Genomic DNA, 18,090 nt, shown 5'->3' with positions numbered 1-18,090 from the left:
TATCTAAATGTGATTTTAATTTTCATTTTTCTGAGGAGCTTTTACAGGTTTTTAAACGTGATTTGGCCATTCATTTTTCTTCCTTTGTGAAATGACATATTCTGTCTTTTGGAAATATCCTGCATGGCAGTTTTTATTTTGCCTTTGAATTTAGAGTTTTTCTGAATATTAGACCTTTATGAAATATATTTTATATGTTCCTTATATCTTCTGCTTATCTGTCATTTATCTTTTCAACTTCTGTATGGTGTTTTGATAAGCTGAAATGAAGTTTACTGTATTTATATATATAAATTATTTCCTCTATTATTTGTATTTTTAAAAATTTTTCTTTGAGATAGTTTTTACTGTTTATATTTTCTTTAAATGTTTTTTTCTGGAGAAGAACTAAGGTGGCCAATAGACACAGCAAGGAAGAGTATCTCCCACCCAGAGACAAGACCATCAAGAAGACCGGCACACTCTGAGCAGATCTTAGAAAGGAAGGCATTGAGAATGGATGGAGGGTAGACATAGATCCTGGGCTGAAGTGGGAGGAAGCTGGGAACCCTGCACAGGGATGCTGAGCACCAGGACTCGTTTCTGGCCCACAGTGGCTCTTGGTGAGTTAAATAGGTGAGGACTGGCCTACTCTTGCCACAGACCTCCAGAATTCTAGCTTCAGGAGACTCCACAACCCCCACGGACATTTGTGCCACCTTAGAGATGTGGCAGGGACAGGACTCCAGACTGTGCTGAGCAAAGATTTGGCATGGGAATAGCTGCAATGGAGCACGGCCAGGGATGCCCAGCCTCAAGGCTCACGACACAGCTCTAGATAGCTTTGGCTTTTGTTGACTCTCAGACCTGGACAGATCAGAGCAATCTTGTCTGTGTGAAAGAGCCAGTCTGATCTGAGTGCACCTCTGTCTACCAGCCTCTCCTAGGGTTCCTGCCTGGCCAAGTCTGCTTGAAGCACAGCCCTGGATGCCCAAATGGGGTACTTCCTGGCAGCAGCCACCATAGCTCATTTGCAGGTAGGTCCTGCCTAACTGTTGGAGAGCTTCTGCAGATGGTACCCCACAACATGCACCCATGCATAGCTTCCCACATCATTTTGCTGACAGGCACCCACCCACAGACTCTCAACACTGCTTTGCCACTGCATGAGCAGACCTCACTGCCCCACCGCTAGCAGTGTGCTTGTGCATGCATGGACTTCACTGTAGTCATCTCAACCCTGCCAGTACACACTGCAGATGCCACTGTCACTGCTCTGACAAAGTGCTTTTGCCGGCACTGCCTGTTGGAGTGTTGTTGCCAGCACACCAGGTATACCTAGGTTCCTCAAGTGCAGCAGGTGCTTAACTTTGAGGTGCCAGAGAACAAAGTTTTGGGCCTGGTCTCAGCCCTCCAGGGATAGAGAGCAAAGCGCAGGAATGCTGAGCTGAGTCTTGGCCCCCTAAAATCATCGAGAAACAAAGCCAGATTACTGAATCCAACTTATGCTACAATCAAACCCTCAACAGCAAAAAAAATAAAAGTAAAAAGTCTCATCGAAAGGAGAGCAAGTTCAAAGATTATAAGGAACATCAGCCCACACAGATGAGAAAGAACCAATGCAAAAACTCTGGCAATTCAAAAACCAGTGTGTCCTCTTACCTCCAAGTGACTATACTAACTCCCCTGCAATGATTCTTAATGAGGCTGAAATGGCTGAAATGACAGACATAGAATTCAGAATCTGGTTGGCAACGAAGATCACTGAGATTCAGGAGGTAGTTGAAACCCAATCCAAAGAATCTAAGGAATCAGTAAAACAAATCCAGTCAAATGATACAAGGGCTGAAAGGTGAAAAAGCCACTTTAAGAAAGAACAAAACTGATCTGATAGAGCTGAAAAGTTCACATCAAGAATTTCATAATACAATCGGAAGTATTAATGGAAGACTAGACTAAGCTGAGGAAAGAACTTCAGAGTATGAAGACAAGTTCTTTGAGTTAATTCAGTCAGATAAAAAACTTAATTAAAACCTCTGAGAAATATGGGATTAGGTAAAGAGATCAAACCTACAACTTATTGGCATCCTTGAAAGAGAAGGAGAGAGAACAAGCAATTTGGAAAACATCTTTGAGGATATTATACATGAAAATATCCCAAACATCTCAAAAGATGTCAACATTCAAATATGAGAAATGCAAAGAACCCCTGTGAGATACTATACAAGATGACTATCCCCAAGACACATAGTCATCAGATATTCCAAGGTCAATGCAAAAGACAGAATATTAAAGGCAGCTAGAGAGAAACAGTTGGTCACCTACAAAGGGAAGCACATCGGGCTAACAGCACACCTTTCAGCAGAAACCCTACAAGCCAGAAGAGATTGAAGGCCTATGTTCAGCATTCTTAAACAATAAATTCCAAATAAGAATTTCATATCCAGCCAAACTAAGCTTCATAAGTGAAGGAGAAATAAAATATTTTTCAGACAAGCAGATGCTAAGAGAATTGTTACCACCAGGTCTGCCCTCAGGAGGTACTTAAGGGGGTGCTAAAAAACCAAGACTGTTACCAGCCACCACAAAACACATTTAAGTATATAGACCATTGACATTATAAAGTAATTCCTGCATAACATCCAACTAACAACACAATGACAAAAATCATATCTGCACAAATCAATATAAACTTTGACTATAAATGGGTTAAATGCCCCAATTGAAAGGCCGAGAGTGTCAAATAGGATAAAAAATAAATAAATAAACCAACTGTGTACTATCTTCAAGAGACTCATCTCACATGCAATGACACCCATAATTTCAGAGTAAAGGGATGTTGAAAAATCTACCAAGCAAATGGAAAACAAAAAAAAGAGCAGGTGTTGCCTTCTTATTTCAGACAAAACAAGTAGGATAAAAAAATAAATAAATAAACCAACTGTGTGCTATCTTCAAGAGACCCATCTCACATGCAAAGACACCCATAGGTTCAGAGTAAAGGGATGTTGAAAAATCTACCAAGCAAATGGAAAACAAAAAAAGAGCAGGTGTTGCCATTCTTATTTCAGACAAAGCGGACTTCAAACCTGGAACAATCAAAAAGGATAAAGATGAGAGGCCAAGGTGGGAGGATCGTTTGAGGTGGGAATTTGAGACAAGCCTGGGCAACAAAGCAAGACACAGTCTCTATAAAAAAAAACAAAAAACAAAAAAGAAACAAGAAAATTAGTCAGGTGTTGTGGTGTATGCCTGTAGTCCCATCTACTTGGAAGGCTGAGTTTGGAGGATCATTTGAGCCTAGGAGATCAAGGCTGCAGTGAGCGATAATCACAGCACTACACTCCAGCCTGGGCAACAGACTTAAGACCTTGTCTCAAAAAAAAAAAAAAACTGAAGAAAAGACAAGAAAAAAGGAAAACAAACAAACAAGGGCATTGTGTAACAATAAGAGTTCAATTCAACAAGAAGACTTAAATATTCTACATATATATATATATACACACACACACACATCCCTAACACTGGAGCACTCAGATTCGTAAAACAAGTTGTTACACACCTACAAAGAGACTTAGATGACCACACAAAAGTAAGGAGAGACTCTAATACTCCACTGACAGTCTTAGATGATCATTAAAGCGGAAAACTAACAAAGATATTCAGGACCTAACCTCAATACTTGACTAAATGGACTTAACAGACATCTACAGAACACTCCATTTAACAACAACAGAATATGCATTCTTCTCATCTGCACATGGCACATATGCTAAATTGACCACATGCTCAGCTTTTAGACAATTCTAAATACATTTTAAAACAAACAAATCATACCAACAACACTCCCAGATGACAGTGCAATTAAAGTAGAAATCAATACTAAGAAGATCTCTCAGACTATACATTTACATGAAAATTAACCTAATCCGGAATGAAAATTTGGGGTAAACAGATTAAGGCAGAAATCAAGTAATTATTTGAAACTAATGAAAACAAAAGTACAACATACCAGAATCTTTGGGAAATATCTAAAGCAGTGTTAACAGGAGAGTTTGTAGTACTAACACCTACATAAAAAAGTGAGATACCAAATTAACAACCTAATTTCACACATAGAGGAAATAGAATAACAAGAGCCAACCAAATCCAAGGCTAGCAGAAGAAAAGAAATAACAAAAATCCGAGCTAAAATGAATGAAATTGAGACATGAAAAACCATATGAAAGAGCAATGAAACCAAAAGTTGGTTCTCTGAAAGAATAAATAAGATTGATAGGCCACCACCTAGCTTAATAAAGAAAAAAAGAGAGAAGATTGAAATAAGCACATTACCTCCAATCCTATAAAACTATTAAAAAAAAAAACCCTCAGAGACTATTATGAACATCTCTATGGACACAAACTAGAAAACATAGAAGAAAGAGATAAATTCCTGGAAACATACACTTCCCAAGATTGAACCAGAAAGAAATTAAAACCCTGAACAGACCAATAACAAATTTGGAAATTTAATCAGTAACAAAGCCTACCAACCAGAAAAATCCCTGGACCAGAAGAATTAACAGTCAAATTTTACCAGACATAAAAAGAAGAGCTGAAACCAATCCTACTGAAACTATTCCAAAAAATTGAGGAAGAAGGACTCCTTCCTAATTCATTCCATGAGCCGAATAATTCTGATATCAAAACCTGGCAAAGACATAATGAAAAAGAAAACTACAGGTCAATATCCTTGATGAGCATAGATGGAAGAATCCTCAACAAAGGGTTGAGTGTGGTGGCTCATCCCTGTAATCCCAGCACTTTGAGAAGACGACACAAGAGGATCTCTTGAGACTAAGAACTCTTGCCATCAGCTGCATGTCTGAGTGCTAAATATTCAGCAAAGAAAGAATCTCTTAAAGCCCCATTGAAAAAGACTATGCAAGGTACTCTGTTCTCATCCTGCTCATAAAGACATACCTGAGACTGGGTAATTTATAAAGGAAATGGGTTTAATTGACTCAGTTACGCAGGGCTGGGGAGGCCTGGGGAAACTAACAATCATAGCACAAGGGGAAGCAAACATGTCCTTCTTCACATGGTGGCAGGAGAGAGAGGTGCCAAGCAAAGGGGGAAAAGCCCCTTATTGAAAAGAAAAAAAAAGTAGATTTAGGTATAGTAATGGTGGCTTTGCACGGTGAATACAGACACTAGTGTTACGAGATAATTTTCAAGAAAGGTAAAATTATGACTATCATACAGATATGAATGCGTGCTAGACATTTTATTTAATAATGAGTAAACTAGGAAAATTTTATAATGGCTTCAAAAGAGGATCTAAAGAACAGCCATAATTATAGGAGAGGGACATTAAATTGAATTCATAAATGGAGGTAAAACTAACTTCTTCTACAGTGAGGGAGAGAAGTCAGTTGAGCTACTCCCTGACAAGGCAGAGTTTGTATGTCTAAAAAGAAGAACTTTTTTGCTTTGCCATCAGTAACTTACAATTCATACATTTGTAAAGCAGCTTCAATGAACACAAATTACATAAAGCTAAATATTGTGCTAGAAAAAATGCATAATTTTTCATCAAAACAATCATTTTCCCAATAGTAACATTAGTGTTTTATTCATGTTCATTTAAATGATTAATATTGTCATATTTAACACAATAGTTGACTCTCTTCTTGTGTGTGACAGATGAACATTGCAATGTTATCTTTTCTACCTGTTTGTTATTGTGTCTTCTTTCAAACTATTGAGATGTCCATGTTAGTGTTTTTCTATTACATTTTTATGTTCCACTCATGGTGCATCACGTACAACCTAATTTTATTCTCCTTTCTCATAAATCTCATAAATCACTCTATTCACACTTGAAGTTTCCTCACACATGTGAAGACTTTGTAGTGCTTCGGTAGCACAGAGTGAAAGAAGCAGACAGAGCCCCCCCTTGCTTGACAAGTGATGCACTCCAAGAACAGATATGAGATCCATTATTCTATGATTGCTATGTGATTTGTAACTCTGGGCATTTTGTGTGGTGGTATTTTTGTTTTCAAATGGCAATATATTCTCTTACTTCATTGCATAGCTTCTATTTCAGGACTGCTCTTGTTTATCATTATTTGAAGGCCCTTTTTATAGATGAAGACATTTTAATTTAGTTTCAGGGAAAGGCTTTTGTTTAAGCAATTATGGCCACCTCTGAATTTTTATTTAAGTCAGCATTAACTAAGAATATCAGTTTTACAAATTTGTTTTTGAAATTTATGGCAGAACTCGAGGAAATGGCAGAGTGGTGTGTAGAAGAGGGTTCTACCTTCTAGTCATTATACATCTAATACACTTTTCCTGATTTTGTTGTCTTGTTTTATAGCTATTTTTTGTTTATTTCTTTACTTGCTTTAATAATTAAAAATCCATTCTGTTATTATTGATTCATTTTTGTTTTCTTTCCCATGTGGCATTTGAACTCTTTTGCACAGAGCTCATGAGTTTCTATGGTCATTTAGATAACGAATATATTGAGAGCATGGATTTTGCTTCACATCTCTGCCACTAAGTAGTTGCTTAAATTCATAAAGGGCTAGTTTCTTCTTATGTAAAATTGAAGATAAAACTTAAATGTGATAATCTCTGTAAATTGTTTCATATGATGATCATAAAATCCCAAAATATTAATTATTAGCTGTTATTATATTATCATCTCTTGTTTACCTACCCTTTACCCTTGCTATAGAGCACTTCTGTATCTTTGAGTATAAAATTAGAGCACTAATACTACTGGTGAAATAGTAATAATGATGACAATTATAGGTAATTATTGGGAATTTACTATATATAATCCATATTAATTATTAAACCTATTTTATAAATGAGGTATACTAGTGACAGAGAGCGTTTTCATCATGATTGTCAGCTTCAGCTTTTTTGTTCTTTCTTTTATTTATTCATCTAATATTTATTTAGTATTTGTTCCTCATCCTACCCAATGTGCAGACGTAGCATCCTCAACAAGATAGATGAAGTCTCAGCTCTCAGCTAAACGCTGATAGAAAAAGATGCATCATAAACAATCAAACAAATTAATAATCAGGGAAGGAAATAAGACAGGTATTGTAGTACAGTGAATTATTTGTTGAGGGACACTTTTAGTTTGGGTGCTAGAAAAAAAAAATATCTAAAGAAGTGGCCTTTGAACTGAGACCTAAGTGACAAAAAAGAGCTAACCATGTGAAGATTTGGGAAAGACTGAAGAAGTACATAGGTATAGAAGTAGTAATAAGCTTGCCAAGATCAAGGTGATGTCATAATACCCTTCTTTCTGGAAAGTGATGGAAGTGACCCAGGAAAAGATAAACAGAAGATCACACACAGCCTTGAAGGGCTCAGTAAGGAGTTTGGTTATTTATTCTGTGTAAAGTGGAAAGTTCTTGGTAGGTTTTTACTAGGGAAGTGGCATGATCCAGCGAAGTTTTATGGTTTTATGTTGTATATGGTGATGTCAGCGGATTCAATAGATTGTAAGGGATTACAAATAGAAACAAAGAACAGGTCACAGCCTGTTGCAGTAGTCCAGGTAGATAGTTTAAACTCAATAAAAGGGCAGAATAACATCCCTCCACCATGAAAGACATTCACGACTTAGTTCCAGAAGCATGGGAATATTTCATGTTAAAATGCAAAGGGGAGTTAAGGTGGCAGATAGAATTAAGGTTGCTAATTGTCTGATTTTAAGATTAGATTATCCAGGACTGTTAAAGGGTCCTTAAATGGGGAAGAGGGAGGTAGAAGAGTCACAACCAGAGAGATGGCTCTCTCTCTCCTCTCTCCTCTCTCCTTTCTCCTCTCTCCTCTCTCTCCTCTCTCTCGACGGAGTCTCGCTCTTCCACCCAGGCTGGAGTGCAGTGGCGCAATCTCGGCTCACTGCCAACTCCCCCTCCCTCTCGGCTCACTGCCAACTCCCCGCCCGGGTTCACGCCATTCTCCTGCCTCAGCCAAGAGATGGCACTTTCATGAGAAAAACCCAACTGGCAATTGCTACCTGTTACAATGCAAGGGAACCTCTAAAGGTTGGGAAAATCAAGAAAATGGACTCTCCTTTAGAGCTTCCGGAAATGAACCCAGCTGTGGACACCAATAGTAAAACCCACTTCAGACTTGTGACTGCCAGAGCCATAAGATAATAAGTTTGTGTTGTTTTATGTCACTAAGTGTGTCGCAGTTTGTTGCAGTAGCTATACGAAACCCATACAGATAGCTTGAAGTAGAGTGGGGCAAAGCCATAAAGAGGAGAGATGAGTGTAGGGAAGTATTTTGGGGTCAGGTTCTATGAAACATGCTGGTGGATTAGATACGGTGGGGTGGAAGCAAAAAATAAATTAAAAAATGCGTTAGAAAACTGAGTCGTTAGCTGAGAGGAAAGACTGGGAGAGAAACAATTGTAGATGAGGGATGTGGGGCATTAAGATTTCTGTTTCAGGCATGTTATACTTTGTCTCATTGACATCCTATAGACAGGAAGAATCTGCTAATAATAATAAAACCTTTGAAAAGACTCTGAAATTCCCGTAAAATTACTGAGCTTAAAAAAATCCAGATGTTTAGCATGATATAGACCTGGGGTTGATAAACTTTTCTGTAAAGGGCTGGAGAGTAAATATTCTAGGCTTTGTGGCCCATACAGTGTCTGTAATAACTACTCCACACTGTTGTTGATATTTAAAAGCTGTCAGAGACAATATAAAAACAAATGAGCAGGTTGTCTTCCAAATAAGACTAAAAACTCAGCCTGTGAGTTTGATTTGGCCAATGGGGTATAGTTTATCAACCTCTGATGTAGACTCTCAGAGCATTTATTTCAAAATTTGCATTAAAAATGTGTATACCACTTTATAGAAACAGTTCAAATATCACAAAAAGAGGAAAAATCACTTCATTGTGCTAGTCATTGAAAGGTAAACCAATGTATTATGATTTATTAGCTTAGCTAACATTTGTTGTACACTTACTATGCTAAGAATTTTTCTTGTGCTATGTGACTTAAGCTTCTCAAAACACAATGAGTTACTTATTACTATTATTTCTTATTTTACAAATGAAGTAACTGAAGTTTAAGGAATGAGCAAATAACTAGGGTTTAGGAAAGATGTATATTCCTTGTTAAACAATCCCTTATCAATTATTTAATAACCTTCTTTATATCTAGCAGATCTATAATTTCAATCCAAATCTAGGCTTAATTACTTCATCATTGCACTGGAGTTTGCACAACTATTCTGAGGCCACTTGGTCTGTTATCTCTAACAATTACGTGAATATTTAAAAGAATACAAAAGATAAAAGTTTTGGAATGCTCATAGATGGCTCTGATAAAATCTAATAAGATCTCTTTTTAAAATCATTAATTCTGAACTTACATAAACCCCACATCTGACTGAAGTATGTTTTTAAATAGAACTAATCAGAACATAGTTACTTTCATTTTATATAAAAGATGAGAACACATTTTCTTTCACTTTGAATAAAAGACATGGAGGTCTAAGAAATGTATTAAAATCCTAGACACTGATTGACTGTTAGAAAGAAAGGGAACATATCTCAGCCTTTATTCCCATTTAGTAGCCTCAAATTTTCTTCTCCATCTATTTCAAGAGCTACTCTGATTTAAAACATTTCTCTGCTTACCTCTTGTTAAAAAAATTATGTATTTTTTGACTAAATGTTTCAAATCCCTCTCTGACAAATCAATGTGTGACCCAAACACACTTTTATCATTTAAAGAATGAAACATAATTAAAAGGGCTGATGTTAGAGTCAAGGACAATATTAACTCAACTCTGTTAAAATATGTTTACTTGTAAATATAACAGAAGAGTTGATTCTTCTCTACTCAATTCTTAGAATACAATTGAAAGAACAATGCATTGAAGGCATACAGCATGTTTTTTTTTTCTTTTTGAGGTAGTGTCTCATTCTTTTGCCTAGGCTGGAGTGCACTGGTATGATCATGTCTCACTGCAGCCTCTACCTCCTGGGCTCAAATGATCCTCCCACCTCAGCCCCCGATTAGCTGGGAGAATCAGCTGTTTTTGTTTTGTTTTGTTTTTTACTTTTTGTAGAGACAGGATCTCACTATATTGCCCAGGCTGATCTCAAACTCCTGGCCTCAAGGGATCCTCCTGCCTTGGCCTTCCAAAGTGCTAGGATTACAGGTGTGTGCCACCACTCTCAGTCTATACAGCATTTTTAGGTGGGAAGGATTGTGATTGCTAATATTAAGTAAAGTAGCAGCAAGAGAGACTGCTGCCTCTCTTGCTGGTGAAGGGCTATTGAAGATTATGGAAATCTTCTGGTTAATGATTTTACCTGTAACATTCAATACAAAATCCACTTTCACATGAATTTTGTGTTAGGAAAAAATACGTGAAAATCTAAAGTCCAGTATGTAGTGATTAGCAATGTCAGAACAATTACATAGTTGCCTTTCTTGGGGATTTTCTATTTGAAAACCCTTAAACCCAAAGACTTAACATGTTATTTATTTTATTGAACATGGAAAATCCTGCATCTATCTTTCTTGGCAGAACAAATTTCATTGTATTTGATAAATATAAATAAGTTTCAGAAGTTTTTTTACACAAAGTTATTTCCTTCTGTTAATGCCTAAGTTTTATCTCTGGAAGTTTTTGAGATAACTAGTTTATTAGAGGAAAGCAGTTTTGCTAGCTTTATACAATATTAGTGCTTTTTCTTTAAACAAATTGCTATTTTTAAAAAGACATTTGCTTTGAAGACAAGTGTGACTTTTGTCTATAATGTAATGATAGTAAAAAAACTTTAAATCATTTTTTCCCATTACAGTGTAAAGTTGATTGTCTAAGCGTTATATAAAAACAAGGATATAAAAGTAGGAAAACTCAAAGGTGCAGATAGGTCAGAGTTCTCCATATGTACTTAATTTAAAGGTTAAAAACAAAACAGAAAGCCAGCCTATATTCTTAGCACTCTAAGACTGGAGAGCCTAGGAGGACAAAGCATGATGAAGATGGTACTTGGAGGAGAGTGGGCTTGAGGGGTATGTTAGATTTGAGTTCTAAAAAATCTATGTCAGGGTCATTGTGAGAGTAACTAAGTGAGAAATATAAATCAGACAAAGTGTATTTGCCTGGAAATAGCTAATATGGAGAGAGCAAAAACACTAGATAAGCAGAGGAGGCAAAAACATTGTTCTTGCTCACAGTAATGGCTCAGCAGCTTTCTAGCACACTAAAACTAGCTGTAATCACACATTTTCGTTTGCTACTCTCTATCACCCTGATGGCCAATTTATCCACAGTAGCATATTTACAGGCCTGTTTATGGAATTGAAATTCTTCACCAGAGCTGATGCTACATTGCCTGGGAGCACTATAGGATTTAATTGAACCAGCATGAAAGAACTGATGAATGGCTTTGCTCGCAATGAAGGAAGTGGTGCAGGGCAGAATTTCAATGGAAGATTTTAGCCAATACTTAGTGGCTGGGATACAAAATTGCTGACTATTGAAGTGTTATCTTCTCTCTTTCTCTCAAGCTTACATGTGCCTAATTATTATTTTCTTCGTCACATCCCCTTGTTTTTCTTTCCATTATGTTTCCTGTGCCATCCACCCTCCGCTCAAGTAGATGTAGCATGGCCAAAGCAGATATGATTGCACACGTCAGCCTTTTTACTTTATCATGTCTCACTAAAATATCCCAAAGCGATAGCATTTTCAGATTCCTGCCACTCAAGGAGTTGTTGAGATGGAACATTGTAAATCAGCTGTAACCAAATTATGTATACCTTAGGAATGCACAAAGGTACACAATGCATTTGTGTCCTGTTGCAATCTTTTTTGTGCGGATTTCCTTTAGCTGTTTGCTTATTTAAATTCTTTATTCTTTCTCCTCCCTTATATGGTTTTCCATTTTAAATATTTACTAATTCCTTAGATTTTTCCCTTGTTACTCGTCCTCATGGTCACAGTCTCCCTCTCCTATCCTGATGTTGTTGCTTTTGTTTGTTTCTCTGGGAGATTACAACAAATCCCATAGAAGACATCTTTGTACAAAGCATTTCCTTTACATTGACAATTTTTCAAACATTTGTTTCTAGTCTTGGGATTTCAAAGTTTTATCAACTTTCTGTTTTTTCATTTTGTTTTGTCTCTTTTTCCTATTTGAAGGGATTGTTTTGGTTTGTTACTGTATAATAAAAGCAACCCAGGAGTTTTATTTGTGTGTGTGTGTGTGTGTGTGCATGCATGTGTGTGTGTGTTTCTTTAATGCTTTAATACTACTGCTTCTAACTTTTCCTTCTTAGATATTACTGGATGTTAAAAATTGATTAGTGGAAATTATATATCTCACTTAATTTGGTGAGCTACATAACTAATTCATATTTCTTTGTTTTCTCTATTATCTTACCAAAAGCAGGATTAATTTGTCATTCATATGTTTTCCTTTTCCACTGGATATTGTTTTTTTCACTGTCTTTCTACTTTGATCTTCTTTCTTCCTTTCCTAGTCTCCACACTTCAGCTATAATATTTTGATTTTTTTTGATTTAATGCTTCTAGCCCTTAGTCTTTTGAAAAATTTTCACTCCATTCCACCTTGTTTACCTGCTGCTTTGGACATGCCTTCAAATTTGTCCTCATTAAGTACTGATCTCTCTCTCTTTCTCAATGTCTTCTCTTACCTGAATGTTTTTTGGTCAGTTATGGTTTGGGTCAATCCCTTGACCTTTATATTTGTCCATCACCAGTTATTTCTTCTGGCTTCCCTGATATTTCATTTGTCTGCGTACATTAGTCTTCACAAATTACTACCCTAACTTTTATTGAGCAGTCCTTATACCTCAGTCATTCACATCTTAATTTTTGTGTTCAGCACACAGATATTCAATCAAAACATATTTGCCACTGAAAATATCCTCTGGTCATTTATTTGGCTCAACGGACCTATATGGCCATTCCCTCTTCCACAGTTGTAAAGACTTTGCCTAATTTCTGGCAACTATAGAAGTAGTGGTAAGGATAATGTAAAATTTCTTTTTGTCTTGGAAATTATCAAACCACTTTTGAAGATTGTATTATCTAGTAATCAGAAACTTACTTTGTACATAACTGGGGGGGTGCGTGTTGCTCATAAGTTATCTGATTTCTTCACTGCACGATTCCTTTTCCACCTTCTTACAACTTCCTTTACCTCTTCCTTTTTGTTCTAGGAATGAACCAGAATATGAAGGATGAAAAGCATCAGGGAGAAACACTTCTTCAAATCTCTACTTGAAGAAGACTAAGTGTTCTTGTTTTTCTTTAATAGAAATACATCCAGGAAAAAAAAAAAAAGAGAAAGTGAAGTATGTTTTAACTAAACAAGGAAATATTAAAGATCGCATAGGATATAGGTGAGCAAAATATGTAAGAATTCTAACACGGAAAAAATTGAGGAAAAAATGTCATGCTGATTGAATATGGACAATACTTTCTCTTTATTATTTTGTCCTACCCAAACTCACTTGCTTTTCCTGTAATTAATTTAATTTTAATTTTTGGATTTAATTCCTAGTAAAATTAAGTCAGTGCATATGCTTCCTTCTGAATCTTACTGCTATTAAGAAAATTGTGTGTAATACCTAAAATACCCACCCATGAAAATAGAATACTCAGCACCACAATAACAAAAGTAATAAACTGGCCTTGCCTTAATTTCCAAGTCCCACATCAGTGCATGCGTGCGTGTGTGTGTGTGTGTGTGTGTGTGTGTGTGTACAAAGGGATACGAAAGAACTGGCAAAGATAAGCCAAAGAAAGATTTTTTGAATGAAAGATGAACTTTCATGAAAAGTTTGGGAATGATAGAGAAATACAAAGCACCAAATTCAAGGGGATTTTGAAGGAGAGAGCAGGGACAGCTAGGTGAAGTAAATAAAGCAAATTTCAGTTAAATGGAATGAGTGAGTTCAGGGGAAAAACAGTACATATAGCCAAGAAATATTCCCTTAGGTGTGATGATAGAGAACCAGGTCACCTCTAATTAAGTGGAGTTACTATAGGTGAGAGGAAACTATTAAAGGCACTGTGCTAGTTTGGACATTTTATATGTCATTAAATAATTCAATTCAATAAACATTCCATGAGTATCTGTGAGAAACTCTGCTAGATGAGTGCAAGTTAAAATGAAGCATGTTTTCTATGCTTGAGGATTTTATAGCTTACTGTGTGGAGATTAAGACGTATACAGATAGTTAAGACATGGCATATTTTGACAAATTCTATATTGCTGATAAAGTATAGCAATTAGGTTTTTTTGCTAAGATAGAGAATGAAACTTAAAATATGAAATTGAATGTCAGTTGCCCTTCCAGGATGGGTTACATATTGATATTGGAGATGAAAGGAAGAGTATTCCAACAGGTTAATATAGGTCACAAAACAAGTCTCAACAAATTCAAAAAAGTAGAAATTATATCAAATAATTGGCCCTTCAATAATGGGTTACATATTGATATTGGATATTAAAGGAAGAGTATTCCAAGTTAAAGGTATATAGTCATGACATAAGTGGCCAAGACCTAAGTGGAAGAATAACAGTGCTTAATTGTGTAAATGTAAGTGAAGAGTTTGTTGCAATTATGCAGACATGATAGGGGAAGGTGATTCAGACTAGATTATGATCTGTTATATATTTTATTTTATTCTGTTGGCCATAAAAATCCAGGAAACATTTTTCATCCAGCGTCTGACTACAATCATGGTTATGCCTTAAGAAATTAACTTAGCAATAGAGGAGAAGACAAGTTATATGTAGAAGAAGATTAACAACAGGTTGATACAATCACCCAAACAAGAGGTAAGAAGAACAACAATAATATTAAAAATTGAAAGAAAGAGTTTTAGAGAATGTAGAACTGATAATTAAACATATAGAGGGAGTAAGAGGAAGAGAAAGTAACTCAATGTCTCTAAGATTGAATGGCTGAAAAAATGTAGTTTTCACTATTAGAAATACAGACATAAAGGAGAAAGAATGTGTGGCTGGGATACAGTATATAATGAGATATTTCAATACATCTATAATTAATGTCAGATATTCCCAAGGTCTCATTTAAACAAAATTATCTACTCGAAACCACTTAATTATTATAATTTTTTTGTTTTGAATTTGATACCATATAAAGACCAATAAACATATGATGCAGTTGGCAAAAGTCTGGCCAATTTAATAGGTTAATATAGGTCACAAAGCAAGTCTCAACAAATTCAGAAAAGTAGAAATCATATCAAATAATTTTCTGACTGCAGAGGACTAGAAATCAATAACAAGAAGAAACTCAGAAAATACCCAAGCACTTGGAAATTAAACAACATGCTCCTGAATGACCAATGGCCAATGAAGAAATTAAGAAGGAAATTAAAAAAAAAACATTTTTGAAACAAATGAAAAAGGAAATACAACATACTAAAATCTATAGGATACAGCAAAAGCCATACTAACAGGGAAGTTTATAGCAATAAATGCCCATATCAAAAACAGAAGGACTTCAAATAAACAACAACCTAACAATGCACCTCAAAGAACTAGAAAAACAAGAAAAAACCAAACCCCAAATTAGTAAAAGGAAAGAAAGAATAAAAATTTGAGCAGAAATAAATGAAATTGAGACTAAAAAGAAATACAGAAGGTATAAAAAATGAAAAGTTGTTTTTATGAAAAAATAAAATAAACAAACCTGTAGCTAGACCAGTAATAAAACAAGAGAGAAGGCCCAAAGGAATAAATGTGGAAAAGAAAAAGGAGATGTAATAACTGAAACCACAGAAATACAAAGAAGCATTGGAAACTATTATGAACAACTATGTGTGAAAAAATTTAAAAACCTAGAAGGAATGGATAAACTCCTGAATGTATACCTACCAACCTACCAAGATAGAACCAAGAAGAAATTAAAAAAAAAAAAAACCTCAACAAGTCAGTAAGGGTAACGAAATTGAAACCATAATAAAAAGTCTCCCATCATGAAGCATCGTTGAATGTTGTCAAAGGCCTTTTCTGCATCTATTGAGATAATCGTGTAGTTTTTGTCATTGGTTCTGTTTATATGATGGATTACATTTATTGATTTGTGTACATTAAACCAGCCTTGCATCCCAGGGATGAAGCCCACTTGATCATGGTGGAAAAGCTTTTTGATGTGCTGCTGGATTCGGTTTGCCAGTATTTTATTGAGAATTTCCGTATCGATGTTCATCAGGGATATTGGCCTAAAATTTTCTTTTTGTTGTTGTTGTTGTGTATCTGCCAGGTTTTGGTATCAGAATGATGCCGGCCTCATAAAATGAGTTAGGGAGGACCCCTATTGTTTGAAATAGTTTCAGAAGGAATGGTACCAGCTCCTCCTTATACCTCTGGTAGAATTTGGCTGTGAATCCGTCTGGTCCTGGACTTTTTTTGGTTGGTAGGCTATTAATTACTGCCTGAATTTCAGAACCTGCTATTGGTCTATTCAGGGATTCGACTTCTTCCTGGTTTAGTCTTGGGAGGGTGTATGTGTACAGGAATTTAATGATTTCTTCTAGATTTTCTAGTTTATTTGCATAGAGATGTTTGTATTTCTACGAGATCAGTGGTGATATCCCCTTTATCATTTTTTATTGCCTCTTATTGATTCTTCTCTCTTTTCTTCTTTATTAGTCTGGCTGGTGGTCTATCTATTTTGTTGATCTTTTCAAAAGACCAGCTCCTGAATTCATCAATTTTTGAAGGGTTTTTATGACTCTATCTCTTTCAGTTCTGCTCTGATCTTGGTTATTTCTTGCCTTCTGCTAGCTTTTGAATTTGTTTGCTCTTGCTTCTCTAATTCTCTTAATTGTGATGTTAGGGTGTCGATTTTAGATCTTTCCTGCTTTCTCTTGTGGGCATTTAGTGCTATAAATGTGCTATAAATTTAAAGCAGTGGTACACACTGCTTTAAATGTGCCCCAGAGATTCTAGTATGTTGTGTCTTTGTTCTCATTGGTTTCAAAGAACATCTTTATTTATGACTTCATTTCGTTATTTACCCAGTAGTCATTCAGGAGCAGGTTGTTCAGTTTCCATGTAGGTGTGTGGTTTTGAGTGAGTCTTTTAATCCTGAGGTCTAATTTGATTGCACTGTGATCTGTGGTCTGAGAAACAGTTTGTTATGATTTCTCTTCTTTTGCATTTGCTGAAGAGTGTTTTACTCCCAATTATGTGGTCAGTTTTAGAATAAGTGCGATGTGGTGCTAGGAAAAAATATATATTCTGTTGGTTTGGGGTGAGAGTTGTGTAGATATCTATCAGATCTGCTTGGTCCAGAGCTGAGTTCAAGTTCTGGATATCCTTGTTCATTTTCTATCTCGTTGATCTGTCTAATATTGACAGTGGAGTTTTGAAGTCTCCCACTATTATTGTGTGAGAGTCTAAGTCTCTTTGTAGGTCTCTAAGAACTTGCTTTATGAATCTGGTTGCCCATCAATGATAGACTGGATAAAGAAAATGTGACACATATACCATGGAATACTATGCAGTTGTAAAAAAAAGGATGAGTTAATGTCCTCTGCTGAGTCATGAATGAACCTGGAAACCATCATTCTCACCAAACTAACACAATAGCAGAAAACCAAACACCGCATATTCTCACTCATAAGTGGAAGTCGAACAATGAGAACACATGGACACAGGGAGGGGAACATCACACACTGGGGCTTGTTGGGGAGTGGGCTGCTGGGGGAGGGATAGCATTAGGAGAAATAACTAATGTAGATGATGGGTTGATGGGTGCAGCAAACCACCGTGGCACATGTATACCTATGTAACAAACCACATTCTGCACATGTACCCCAGAACTTAAAGTATAATTTAAAAAGTCTCCCATCAAAGAAAGGCCCAGAGTCTAATGGCTTTATCAATTAATTCCATCAAATATTTGAGAAGAAATAATACCAATTCAACAACTAAAGATGAAGGAATATTTCAAACTCATTCTAGGACACCAGCATTACCCTGTTACCAAAACGTAACAAGGACACAACCAAAAAAGAAAACTATAGGCCAATATCACTGATGAAC

General features: G+C 36.0%; 1 long non-coding RNA gene across 4 annotated transcripts in view, besides 1 other annotated feature; it reads left to right on the top strand.

Annotated features, from left to right (window-relative positions):
• Positions 1-18,090, top strand: part of LOC105370481 (uncharacterized) — a 64,726-nt gene that overhangs the window by 21,892 nt on the left and 24,744 nt on the right. For 3 of the 4 annotated variants that reach the window (XR_001750753.1, XR_001750755.1, XR_943828.2), the window contains exons 4-6: positions 12,886-13,025; positions 13,223-13,405; positions 14,719-14,850. This is a non-coding gene — a long non-coding RNA (uncharacterized LOC105370481). The remainder of the gene's footprint in view (positions 1-12,885; positions 13,026-13,222; positions 13,406-14,718; positions 14,851-18,090) is intronic. The other variant, XR_001750754.1, reaches the window with a different exon arrangement.
• Positions 11,445-11,645: a silencer, noted in NCBI's record as "peak2148 fragment used in MPRA reporter construct". NCBI's record gives its function as "represses an SCP1 promoter by STARR-seq MPRAs in K562 erythroleukemia cells {active_cell/tissue: K562}" and the evidence as "EXISTENCE:reporter gene assay evidence [ECO:0000049][PMID:32103011]".

Source organism: Homo sapiens, chromosome 14 (genome assembly GCF_000001405.40).
Source record: "Homo sapiens chromosome 14, GRCh38.p14 Primary Assembly".
NCBI lineage: Eukaryota > Metazoa > Chordata > Mammalia > Primates > Hominidae > Homo > Homo sapiens.
This window is presented reverse-complemented; position numbering and strand designations above follow the sequence as displayed.